The sequence below is a fragment of the Homo sapiens genome, chromosome 6, assembly GCF_000001405.40.
Source record: "Homo sapiens chromosome 6, GRCh38.p14 Primary Assembly".
Taxonomy (NCBI): Eukaryota; Metazoa; Chordata; class Mammalia; order Primates; family Hominidae; genus Homo; species Homo sapiens.
In genome coordinates, this window is record NC_000006.12 from 30045840 (window position 1) to 30060000 (window position 14161).

The following is a 14161-nucleotide window of genomic DNA, read 5'->3' on the forward strand; positions in this document are numbered from 1 at the left end:
GGTTTTTATGGAAGCTTCGTGACACCAGCATTCCTTCTCCCAATGTATAGTGTGGGACCCTCTCCAGAGAGGGTCTTAAGACCCATAATCAGAAAGGCAGAAGATTAGAGTCCTGCCTTGGGGCAGGTGAAATGAGGCCAGAAGAGAGATTCTGATTCCTGAGGCCTGCCGAGGCCGAACACACCCAATATTATTACAAAAGACCGAAACAAGGGAATATAGGAGCTAGGAACCAGGAACTGTGGCCAAAAACCAATCTATAACACCACACACCCCCACTGTCTTAGTCCACTCAGGCTGCTATAACAGAATACCTTAGACTGGGTGGCTTATAAACAACATAAAAGTATTTCTCACAGTTATGGAGGCTGGTAAGTCCAAGAGCAAGGTGTTGGTTAATTTCATGTCTGATGAAGGCCCCTTTCCTGTTTCATAAACGTATATCTTCTCCAAGTGGCCTCACATGGCAGAAAGGTGAAGAGAACTGCCTGGGGTCTTTCTGATAAAGGCAGTGATCCCATTCATGGGGGCTCTGCATTCATAACCTAATCACCTCCAAAAGGCCCCACCTCTAAGTATCATCACACTGGGGATTAAGTTTTAAACATAGGAATTTGGGTGGGGGATTGGAGACACAAACATTCAGTCTAGAGCATCCATAAAAGTCTAAAAAAGTATCCATGCTACTCAAACTCTGATCTATGAATAGCTGATATCAAACCATTTCTTCACAAACTCTCCCAAAAAGGAGAAAGGAACACTGCCCAACATATTCTATAAGGTATGTTCTATAAGGCTGGTACCAAAAGCAGACAAAACAATCACAAAAAAACTACAGATCGCTATTCATGAATATAGATGTGAAAATCTTCAAGAAAATACTAGCAAACAACCCAGCAATGTACAAAAATAATTATACACCATGACAAAGTGAGATTTATCCTAGGAATGCAAGATGGGTTTAATATCCAAAAATCAATTAATGTAATATATTATATCAATAGAATAAAAACCCACAATTATCTCAATAGATGCAGAAAAAGGTTTTGATCAAATTCGATACTCTTTCATAATAGAAACAGTCAACAGGTGGGCACATTGGCATGTGTCTATAGTCCCAGCTACTCAAGGAGACTGAGGAAAGAGAATCACTTGAGGCCAGAAGTTCGAGGGCATCTTGGGCGATGTGTTGAGACCATGTTACTTTAAAAAAAAAAGAGTCAACAAACTGGGAATTGAAAGGAACTTTCTCAGCCGGATAAAGGGCATCTATAAAAAAGCTACAGCTAACATCATACTCGTATTAGTCCATTTATGCATTGCTTTAAAGAAATACATGAAACTGGATAATTTATAAAGAAAAGAGGTTTAATTGGCTAAAGGTTCTGCAGGCTATACAGGTTTCTGCTCCTGGGGAGGCCTCAGGAAACACAATAATGGTGGAAGGTGAATGGGAAGTTAGTACATCTTACATGGCTGAAGCAGGAAGAAGAGAGAAGGGGGAGGTGGCACACATGTTTAAAAAGCCAAATCTCACTACAAAATCTCAACGAAAATTCACTATCATGAGAACAGCAAGGGGGAAGTCCACCCCCATGACCCAATCACCTCCCACCACACCCTTCCTCCAACACTGGGGACTACAGTTTGACATAAGATTTGGGCGGGTACACAAATCCAAACCACATCAATATTTAATGGTGAAAGACTGGTTGCTTTCCTCCTAAGATCAGCAATTAAAACAAGAATATCCACTCCCACTATGTCTATTCAACATTACCAAAGGTTCTAGCTAAGATAATTAGACAAGAAAAAAGCAATAAAGTATATTCAGATTGGAAAGAAAGAAGTAAAACTATATTCACAGATGACATGATCTTTTATATAAAAAAATGCTAAATGATCCATTAAAGAGCTATTAGAACTACTAACTTCAGCAAGGATAAAGGATATAACACCAGTATACAAAAATCAATTGTATTTCTAAACCCTTGCAATGACAAATCCAGAAATGAAATTAAGAAAACAATTCCATTTGTAATAGCTTTAAAGGAACAAAATACTTAGAAGCAAATTTAACAAAAGAAGTGCAACTCAAACATCAATGAAAGAAATTAAAAATCTAAATAAATGGGGTAAAGTTCATGGATTAGATTTAATATAACTCAATGATTATATTTCCAAACTGATAGATTCAGCACAATCCCTATCAGATTCCTAAATGACTTCTTCGTAGAAATTTGCAAACTAATTGTAAATTTATAAAGAAATTAAAGGGACGCAGACTATGCAAACAATCTTGAAAAAAAGAACAAAGGGCCAGGCACAGTGGCTCATGCCTGTAATCAATCGCAGCACTTTGGGAGGCCGAGGCAGGAGGATTGCTTGAGGCCAGAAGTTCAAGACCAGCCTGGGCAACACAGCAAGATCCTGTCTCTACAAAAAATAAAAATTAGCGGGGCATGGTGGTACACACCTGTCATCCCAGCTACTTGGGAGGCTGAGGCAGGGGGATTGCTTTAGCCTAGAAGGTTGAGGCTGCAGTGAGCCATGATTATGCCACTGCACTACAGCGTGGGTTACAGGGTAAGAAACTGTCTCTAAAAAATAAAAAGAAGGAAGAAAAGAACAAAGTAGAACTCATTCTTTCCAGTTTCAAAACATCGCATAAAGTAATGGTAATCAAGACAGTGTGGTACTTGCATAAGATAGACATAGATCAATAGAATAGAACTGAAATTCAGAAATAAAACCATGTGTCTACTGTCAACTGATTTTCAGCAAGGGTGCTGAGCACATTCAACGGGGGAAAGCACAGTCTTTTCAACAAATGGTACTGGGGAAACTTGATAGCCACATACAAAATGATGGAGTGGACCTTATGGTGGTTGAAGTGTGTACTCCGAAAGGTTTGTCTAAGACCTGACCACCAGTACCTGTGAACGTGAACTTATTTAGAAATGGTGTCTTTGTATATGAAATTAAGTTCAGGTTCCCAAGAAAAGATCATCCTGGATTTAGGGTGGGACCTAAATCTAGTGACTGGTGTCTTAATAAAAGAGAAGGAGATATGACATAAACAGAGAAGAGACACAGGCAAGAATGCCATGTGAAGATGAAGGCAAAGATTTCAGTGATGTATCTCCAAGCCAATGGAGCAACAACTACCAACAGCTACCAGAAGTTAGGAAAGAATCATGGAATGAACTTTCCCCCAGAGCCTCCAGAAGAAACTAATCCTGCCAACACCTGGATTTCAAACTTCTGGCCTCCAGAACTGTGACAGAATACATGTTTGCTGTTTTAAGCCATCAAATCTTGGCAATGTGTTACACAAGGTCTAAGAAACTAATACAGGCCTTTACTTCACACTATATACAAAAATAAGCTCAAAATGGAAGAAAGATCTAAATGTTAGTGGTGAAATTACAAAATTCTTGGAGGAAAACCTAGGTGATAAATCTTTATGAACTGGCCGGGTGCGGTGGCTCATGCCTGTAATCCCAGCACTTTGGGAGGCCGAGGCAGGTGGATCACAAGGTCAGGAGTTTGAGACCAGCCTGACCAACATGGTGAAACTCCGTCTCTACTAAAAATATAAAAATTAGCCGGGTGTGGTGGTGCACACCTATAATCCCAGCTACTCAGAAGGCTGAGGCAGGAGAATGGCTTGAACCCAGGAGGCAGAGGTTGCAGTGAGCCGAGATCACACCACTCCACTCCAGCCTGGGCAACAGAGTGAGACTCCGTCTCAAATATATATATATATATATATATATATATATATTTATGAACTCAGGTTGGACAATGGATTCTTAGATATTATGCCAAAGCACAAACAAAAGATATTAGATAATATTGAGAAAAATTAGATGTCATCAAAATTAAAATGTTTATGCTTCAAAGGACACTATCAAGAAAGTGATCCACAATATATACATATATCAAAACATCACATTGTACCCCATGTGTATTATTTACTAATTAACAGTAAACATTTAGATCAAAAAATTAAAATAGTTTTAAAAATTAAGAATTTTTTTAAAAGTGAAAAAAACCCACAGGAAAGGAGAAAAGATTTGCAAATCATACATTTAACAAGAGATGTTTCTAGAATATATAACAATCTCCTACAACTTAATTGCAAAACACACATAATCCCAATTTTAAAATGAGCAAAGGAGTCCGAGCGCAGTGGCTCACGCCTGTAATCTCAGCACTTTGGGAGGCTGAAGTGGGTGGATCACTTGAGGTCAGGAGTTCGAGATCAGCCTCACCAACATGGTAAAACCCTGCCTCCACTAAAAATACAAAATTAGCTGGGTGTGGTGGCACACACCTGTAGTCCCAGCTACTTGGGAGGCTGGGACACAAGAATCGCTTGAACCCAAGAGACGGGGGTTGCAGTAAGCCAAGATCGCACCACTCCACTCCAGCCTGGATGACAGAGCAAGACTCCGTCTCTAAATAAATAAATAAAAATAGAATGAGCAAAAGATATGAACAGTCATTTCCCTAAAGAAGATATACAAATAGCCAATAAGTTCATAAAAAAGATGATCGACATTATTAGGGAAATGCAATTTAAAACCACAGTGAAGGCTGGGCATGGTGGCTCACACCTGTAATTCCAGCACTTTGGGAGGCCAAGGTGGGTGGATCGCAAGGTCAGGAGTTCCAGACCAGCCTGGCCAACATGGTGAAACCCCATCTCTACTAAAAATAGAAAAAATTAGCTGGGCATGGTGGCAGGTACCTGTAATCCCAGCTACTTGGGAGGCTGAGGCAGGAGAATTGCTTGAACCTGGGAGGCAGAGGTTGCAGTGAGCCGAGACCACACCACTGCACTCCAGCCTGGGCAACAGAGCGAGACTCTGTCTAAAACACACACACGCACGCGCGCACAAACACACACACACACACACACGAGATACCACTTCCCAGCCAAAGAATGGCTAGAATCAAAACATCAGATAATAAGTATTGTTAAGGATATGCAGGAATGAGAACCCTCAGACACTGCTGGCAGGAATGTGTAATTATGTAGTCACTTTGGAAGGAGTCAGGCTGTGGCTCAACTGATTAAAAATGAAGATACCATACGACTCACCCATTCTTAGGTATATGTCCAAGAGAAATAAAAATGTGTCACACAAAAATTTGTAAATGAACATTCATAGATGCATTATTTGTATTAGCCAAAAGACAGAAACAATCCAGATGTCTATAAACCGATAAATAAACAAATGTGATACATCTATGGAATACAGTATTATTTGGCCATAAAAAGCAATGAAATACTGATACATGCTATAATATAAATGACACTTGGAAACATTAAGTGAAAGAAACTAGTCACAAAAGACCATATATGATTATATTTACATATGAATTTTCCAAAATAGGCAAATCCATACAGGTAGGACATAGATTAACTCTTGCTTAGGGTTTGGGGTGATGGGGAAGGGGGAATAAGAGAGTAATAGCTATAGGGCATGGGGTTTCTTTTTCAGGCGATGATAATATTCTAAAATTGAATGCAGTGATGGTTGCACATATTTGGGAATATACTTTAAAACTTTGATTGCATACATACTTTATTTTTTTCCAGATTTATTGAAGTATAATTGACAAATAAAAATTGTACAGTGTGACTTTTTATTTGTACATAATATTTGCACATATTTATGGGGTACATGTGATATTTTGATACACACATAGTATCTAATAATGAAGTTAGGGTACATAGGATATCCGTCACCTCAAGCATTTATTTCTCTGTGTTGGGAACATTACAAGTCTTCTAGCTATTTTGAAATACACAATATATTGTTGTTAATTATAGTCACCCTACTGTGCTATCAAACACTAGAACTTATTCCTTCTATCTGACTGTACGTTCGTACCCATTAACCTACCTCTCTTCATCACCCCCCTCACACACCCACAAACACACACACACACACACACACACCCTTCCCAGCCTCTGGATACTATCTTTCTGCTGTTTACCTCGATTAGATCAACCTTTTAAAGCTCGCACATGAGTGAGAACATGCAATATTTGTCTTTCTGTGCCTGGCTTATTTCATTTAATATCAGAACCTCCAGTTCTGTCCATGTTAGTGGAAATGACAAGATTCCATTCTTTTTATAGCTAAATAGTATTCCATTGTGTATATATGCCGTATCTTTTTAATCCATTCATCCATTGATGGACAGTTAGGTTGATTCCCTGTCTTTGCTATTGTAAATAGTACCACAGTAAACATGGGGGTGCCAGTATCCCTTTGATGTATCGATTTCCTTACCTTTGGATAAATACCCAGTGGTGGTATTGCTGGATCACACAGATCTATTTTCAGTTTTCTAAGAAATCTCCATACTGTTTTCCATAGTGGCTGTACTAATTCACCTTCCCACCAACCGTGTGTAAGAGTTTGTCTTTATATCCTAGCTACCATTTTTGTCTTTTTAATAATAGCTATTCTAGCTAGGGTAAGATGATATATTATTGTGGTTTGCTTTAAATTTCCCTGATAATTAGTGATGTTGAGCATCTTTTTCACATACATGTTGGCCATTTGTATTTCTTAAGAAATTTCTATTCAGATCCCTTGACCATTTTTAAGGGGATTTTTTTTTTTTTTTTACTGTTGAATTGTGTTCCTTGTACACTCTGGATATTAGTCCCCTGTTGGATAATTTGAAAATATTGTTCCCATCTACAGTTGGTCTCTTCACTCTGTTGTTTTCTTTGCTGTGCAGATTTTTAGTTTAATATAGTCCCACCTGCCTATTTTTTGTTGTTGTTGCCTATGCTTTTGATGTCTTAACCATAAAATCTTTGCCTAGACCAATGTTCTTGAGCATTTCCCCTATATTCTCTTTTAGTAGTTTCATAGTTTCGGATCTATCATTTAAGCCTTTAATCCATTTTTGGTTGATTTTTTAATATGGTAAGAGATATGAGCCTAGCTGCAATCTTCTGCATATGGATATCCAGTTTTCCCAGCACCATTTATTGAAAAGGGTGTCCTTTCTTGGTGCCTTTGTTGAAAGTCAGTTGGCTGTAAGTATATGAAATTATTTCTGGGTTCTCTATTCTTTCCATTGGTCTATGTGTCTGTTTTAGGCCGGTACCATGATGATTTGGTTTCTACTATAACAGTTACAAAGCTATTACTATAGCTTAACTATTGGATGGGGCTCTTTTGTGGTTCCATATGAATTTTTTTTATTTTTGAGATAGGGTCTCACTTTGTCACCCAGGCTGCAACACAGTGGCGCAATACCAGCTCACTGCAGCCTTAACCTCCTGAGGTTCAAGCGATCCTCCTGCCTCAGCCCCCTAAGTAGCTGGGACTACATGCACATGCCACCACACCCAGCTAATTTTTGTAATTTTTGTAGACATTTCACCAGGAACAAATAGAAAACTTGAACAGACCAACAATGAGTAATAAGACTGAATCAGTAATTAAAAGTGTCTCAATAAAGAAAAGCCCAGGACCAGATGGCTTTCCTGTCAAATTCTACCATACATACAAAGAAAAATTAATACCAATACTTCTCAAAATATTTAAAAAAAACTGAAGAGGAAGGAATTATTCTTAACTCATTTTATGAAGCCTGCATTGCCCTGATACCAAAAGCAGAGAAGAATACAAAAAAAAAAGAAAATTACAGGCCAATCTTCCTAGTGAAAATATACACAAAAATCCTGAACAAAATTTTAGCAAACTGAATCCAACAACATATCAAAAATATACCACAATTAATTGGGATTCATCCCAGGGATACAAGAGTGGTTCAACACACACAAATCAACAGACATTAACATTTTTTAATCTTATTTGAAAAGGTGGATAAAACTGAATTTGGAATTGGAAGATTTGTTTTGGGTCCCCACTCTGCCATTTCCAAACTCAGTACTCTATCAGAACTAAGTCACAGGGTGCTTGAGGGCTCAGAAGCTTTTGTCCAGCAGACAAGAAGGAACTGTTATTACACAGCCTTTGACCCTCTAGGGACTCCAGCAACCTCGTACTGAAAGGAGACTCCTTGTCTCCTTCTCTGGGGACCCTTTTGTTCAGAAATAAAACTTTCGTGCTGCAGGTGCCTTGAGGAGACGACATGTGGGTGATCTTTTCTAGAAGGCAGTGGAGTGAAAGTTTTGGGAAAAGTGACAGAAAGAGAAACAAATCCTGTACTGGAAGCTCACTGAAAACCAACTAAGTAAACAAATATTTTAGTACCTCAACTGAAATATAAGCATAAACAGAGGTTGACTATGATTGTACCTGGACAAGATGAGTAAAAAGCTAAAGTGGTCTGTTATCAGCTATTTATGTATTTTGGGCCTGTCTCCAGCAGTTAACAAATGTCCTTTCTTTCAACAAATATCTATTAAGAGGCTAACATGTGCCAGACTCTACAGAACAGGCTTACAGGCATAATGCCACAAAGGAACAGAAATCTAACAGGCTTCAAGATCAGGCCTGTCAAATAAATGTACCACAATTTATATATCATACATATATCTAGTACACAGTCACCAGAACATAAGATTAAACATGTTAATGTTTATCTAAGTATCATTTTTAAAAGAAAAATAAAACAAAAACTGGAAACAACTAAATGACATCAACAGAATATATAATTAAGTTGTGGCATATTCATGTCATGGAAATGAACTACAGTGTCACACATCAACATGGATGAATCCAAAAATAATAATGAGCAAAAGTAGTCAGTCATATACAGTATAATTCTATTTATATAAAGGCTATAAATAAGCAACTGTTAGGGATACACAGACAGTAAAATCTATAAAAGCTAGGTGACAGTTATACAAAATTCAGGATAGTGGTTGCCTCTGGCTGCAGGGGAGAGAGATATGAATGAGAGCATACGAGGCTCCTGGGATGTAGTAATGTTCCATTTCTCAGTCTGAGCAACGGGCACCTGGACATTTATTATTGTTCTTCTAAATATACATTTTCATTTGTGTATTGTATATTCTATTTCACATTAAAAAGAAAAAAGACCAAAAAAAAAACATTAAGTGTGACTCAAGATTTAAGCAGACACAGTGCAAAGAAATGAAAAGGTGGATATAATTTGAGGTAGATGATGGATGCAGGTTTGGACAAACTGAGTTCCTGAAACATAGACTTTTATTCTTAGCCGTATTAGGTGTGAAATTGCCCTGAGAGCACCAGTTGCTTTTATGCTAGATTTGGAGGGGAAAGAGGGCAGTTGAACTCAGCAATTTATGTGTCCAGCACTGAAAACCTTCATGGTAAACAATTACTAATAGGTTATATGTTAGGTTACTTTTCAGTCCCACTCAGCTCAAAGGGCTTGTCATTACCCTACTGATTTGCACTTCTAAGTCTTCTGCCTGTTGCATTCTGATGATCCATTTCTATGCAAAACATAGAATCTAAAGCTGAGACATAGCAATAGAGGACCAGAGAACAGACACAGCAACGAAGTTTCCATGAGGCAAATCAGGAGGGTAGGAATGAGATTTTGATGTGCATCCTGGCCAAATTCCAGAACTAGCAAAGAGAGGTCAGTTCCTAATTCCAATCAAAGCAAATTCAGTCATCTTATTTTCACACAGAAGTGGTCTACATTGATTTTTAAATCTCTTTAAGGGATTAGGGAGCCTCTGAAATGCAAAGGAAACTAAACTGATAGTAATGTAAAATGAACAGTGACCTATCATACCAGCAAACACTGTCAAAAACAGAAAGCTAATGGTGGGACTGGAATCTAGAACACAGAAGTTATGTTTATCCAGTGCTACACTGTGCAACAGGGTAGTCACTTGCCACATGTGGCAATTTAAATTTAAATGAAATTCAATTAAACATTCCATTCCACAGCTGCACCAGCCACATTTTAAATGCCTCAACAGCCACGTGTAGCAAGGGCTACTGTACTGAGGAGCACAGACACAGAACATTTGTATCAGTGGCTGACCTAGCAGTATCCAGGGTAAAGGGTGTTCTGCTAGTAAAGCAAGGTGGGCATCAGAATTATCACAACTTAAGCATAATATTCCTGAGGGCATCTATTTCCATTTATTTGCTTCTCTGCTTACCAACTCTGAACCCCTGCTTTCCCAACTTTCTGGTATCTGGGAAGAAAATAAACTGACTAGAAAACACAAATTTCATTCTGCTTGACAACTGTAATTCTCACTAAATTTATAAATTTGCTTTCTGATTTATCAATGAGCGCCAAAAACATGAGTTTGAGAAAGGCTGAGTTTGATTATCCCTGAGTGGATCCAAGCATTAGGAAGGTCTTGCTTAAGTGGGTGATAGGAAGTGACAAAAAAAGCTGGAAGAAACATGACAGACTATAATACTCCCTTCCCTAACCTTCCTCCTTTTCACCCTGCTCACCTGGGCCAGGTTAGAATCCGTCCTTTGTAAAGCACCCTGTACCTTTCTATTGTAACCTTTATTTACTACATTATCTGTTTATAGAGTGATCTATGCCATTAGTTGAAAATTATTCAAGGGCAGAGACTTCTCTTTATTCACCTTCAGTAACTAACATAATGCCTAGCATGTAGGAGGCTCTCAAAATTAAGTTTCTCATTCAAATAAATTGTACAGAGCAAGTTACACTTTTAGGGGCTGGCTAGTAGTTATCTGATGAAGGTATGATATTAAAGACCATATACTAAACTATAGCAATCTCATCAAAATAACCTTGGAGGGCTGGGAACAGGGAGAATAAGAGAAGAAGATTAGAACAATTCTTTATTCACCACCATTGCCCAACCCCGGTCTTTCCAAGTGGGGAAACTAACATTTATGAAACAACTAATACATACCTACACTTCACAAAAAAAACAGTCCTTCCATAAATGCCATCAAATATTATTGCCATTTTAAAGATGAGGACACTGAACACTAGAAAGGATATGCAACTTGAACAAATGCAAGTCAACTAAAAAAGTTAAGCTAATTTTCAAGTGCAGAACTATCTATCTGTATCTGATACAAATGGGAATATTCACTGAACCCTGGAGAGAACGAGCATTTGAAAAAAAAAAGGGTTCACTTAAGAGATATGATTTTATCATAACAGCATTGAAACTTTAATCTCTTATTTTTCCTATTTGACTTCTTAAAAAGGGTGGCATTGCCAAGAATTTTCTTTGATATGGTTTCACAATTGTATTCACCTTCTCTCCATTCTGAGACTTATCCATAAGAATACTCACTTTAATCCGACTTCTACTGCATGGTTGGAAAAGAAGATACGCAATAACTCTTTCAAACTCCTTTATCTCTTTTACTCTCTCATGCTTCTCATATGTAAGTAGCTGGCTCTGGCTTCTTCTCAAGATTCTCTCCTTGAGTCTTTGTTCTGCAAGTTCTCTCCCTCGAATCATGCGTTCCTGGTGATCCTTAGTCTGCATCTGTTCCCTCTCATTTACCTGCTTTCTTCTCTGTGCGTTCTGGATGCCATGCCCTTCTGGCATAATTTTTGGTAATTTTGTTTCATTGGGGGGTTGTAGTACTTGTCTAAATGGTTTGTTCTTAAATTCTCCAGCCTTTCCTGTTTGATGTATGTGCCTTTCTATGTGTTTCATCTCTCTCTCAGGTACCAAACAGTACTGTTTTAGTCCTTCTACGCTCTGGGTTGTTTTCTCCTCCATTTTTTTCTAGATTTCATTGCCTGTCTCTTCTTTCATCATTTCCACTATTATTTTATTATAATAAGACTCTGCTTTGGCAAGCCAGTAGTCAAGAGAAACAGCTTGCTCCCTACAGAGTATTTCACACTCCTCCTGATATTTCTGCATTATCAACTGTCTTGCTGCTGTTGTATGCACACCACCTAGATTCTGTCAAAGTGAAGTCAGAAATTTATAATGTGATCATCTTTTTCCTTTGAACACATTTAAACAGGAGCCAAGCCCACCCTCCCTAATGACACCAGGAAAAGCTACATGCTCTTTACTTTAGCTTAGTTGTTATTTTATTCCCATCACTCCCAGGTGAGCCTGGGAGCTCTGAAAGTATTAAGTACTCACCACCACAAATCAGTAACTAGGTTTAAAAATGTATGGTGTTGGAAGTTTCCAAAAATGATACTTTGTTTTGCAACTGTGGATATAGCTGGGTAACATTTGCCAGTGTAGACATACTACCTGAATGTGTCACTTGGGCAGAAGGATTTTAAACCTAAGATTCCTTCTCTGTGTAGTTCCAAACTGTATGATGTGAAGATAATTTACTTACCAAGATCTTTTTTTCCAGTGGAGACTGCTGACCTGCAGCAATCCTAGGATCTTTAGATGATGTACCCCAGGCCAATCTGGAAGATAAAAAAGGCAAGGTAGATTCAAATGTAGGAGGTGTCAGAACAAATCTGCTAATAGGGAGGACTACAGCAGGGCCATTTCCCCCATGGGAAACCACTGCATTCCTATGGTAGAAAATAATGAATGCTCTTTTAATAAGAGGATCTTTCCTTTCATATGAACAAGCATACTTTTCCTGTGGACTCAGCGTGAACCACTGTGAATCTCGTATTGGGGATTGTGAGTGGGAAGAGACATGCTCCTTGGTGAGGTGTTGTCCAAGTACATCTATGTCAGTCTGCTCAGTCCTCAAGCCTCCTTTGTGTTCTGAGACGATTGTAGGTTCTAGTTTTCTAGACGATTCTAGGTTTCTAGTTTTCTCTTCCTGCAGTTTCTTGATCCGGGCCCTCTCTGACTCTATCAGCACATACAGCATTTCTGCCCTCTAATCTTTTGTTCTGAAATTCTGTTATTTGACTGCTCAGCCCTCTGCTTGCCTGACTAACAATGCCAATCATCCTTCACTCTAAATCCATTATGAGACTATTCCCTGTTGAACCCCTCAGGATGGCAATTTGTGGTTACTCTGGGTTTATTTATAGAGGAGGCTGATGGCAACACAAATGAAAACTATCATCTTTTATGTGTCATCCCTGGTCTAGCCTGAGTTTACTGTGATGTCGTATTTAAGCCACTGAGGATGCCTGGCATTTCCTCTGTATGTCTTTTATACCATTTAGAGTTCAAAGGATGGTCTTTACAGTCTGACAGAGCTAGATCTGAAATCTAATTCTACCACTTCCTAGGTGTGTGACTCAGGGCAAGTAACTTCTGTCAGCTTTCTCATCTATAAAATGGAGATGTAAGACAAAAATCTGCCTCTCAGGGTTATAAAGAACAAATATGAATTAGATGTAAAGAGCTTGGTAAGTTCTCAATAAATTCTATCTATCTGTCCTTCACAGGTCAAGCTCCTGATTATAAAGTCTTTCCAGTCTACTCTGTCAGTGATCTTCCCTTCCTCTAAATACTTGACATATTTTAATTCTACAACTCATTTGAAAATTAATCGTGGTTTACACTGTGATATCTGTATTCACATATCACTTTTAACATTTTGATGCTGAAATTTAGGCTCATAAGGAATGAAAACTGTAATTTATATCTACAAATATGATGCCTCTATATTGTTGGAAAGGATCTGATATCAAATATTTGGTCTCACTGACCTCTTAGGAACATTCTTATTTGTCTACGTAAGCTTATTTTGAGATTGTAAACGTATGATCATCTTACTTTTACTTCTCTGTACATGGCTTCTAGCACAATACTTAACATTAGAGTCTGTGATCCCAAGTTCTCAAAATTAATGATTTGCTGATTGCTGATGATCCTTGACACATAATATCTGAGCATCTTTTTTAAATATCTGCCATAACATTGTATCTATTTTTATTAAGCCATTTCCCAGTCTTCCTTGAAGTTTACAGATATGTTTCCTTTATATGCATGTTCTGGGCTCTCACATTTTGTACCTACTAGCACAGTTTTATTATATTCTAATTATTCATTCATGTTCCTTGAGGTCAGAGAACACAGATTTCAACTTTGCAGGCTCAGCCTCAGCTCAAAACCTGGCATAGTTGCTCAATAAATCTTTACTGATTAGACTGTGAGCTTTTGTTGGGAAAAGGATATGCCTTTTAATGCTTTGTTCCTTTACTGCAATTCACAGGGGATGTTGGCTGTTTTTCAAATTAAAAACAGAAAACTGAGGAGGGTAGAATTTCAAGTTCCATTTTCAAAGGAGACACACAGATAAGT

General features: G+C 38.2%; 1 pseudogene across 4 annotated transcripts in view; it reads right to left on the reverse strand.

Moving 5' to 3' along the window:
• The window catches only part of POLR1HASP (POLR1H antisense, pseudogene), a 60179-nt pseudogene that overhangs the window by 44829 nt on the left and 1189 nt on the right, over nucleotides 1–14161 (reverse strand). For 2 of the 4 annotated variants that reach the window (NR_026751.2, NR_145416.1), the window contains exon 3: nucleotides 12276–12351. The product of NR_026751.2 is annotated as a POLR1H antisense, pseudogene, transcript variant 1 (transcript). Of the gene's footprint in view, nucleotides 1–8761; nucleotides 11879–12275; nucleotides 12352–12528; nucleotides 12894–14161 lie in introns of those variants that run through there. The other 2 variants (NR_145417.1, NR_145418.1) reach the window with 2 other exon arrangements.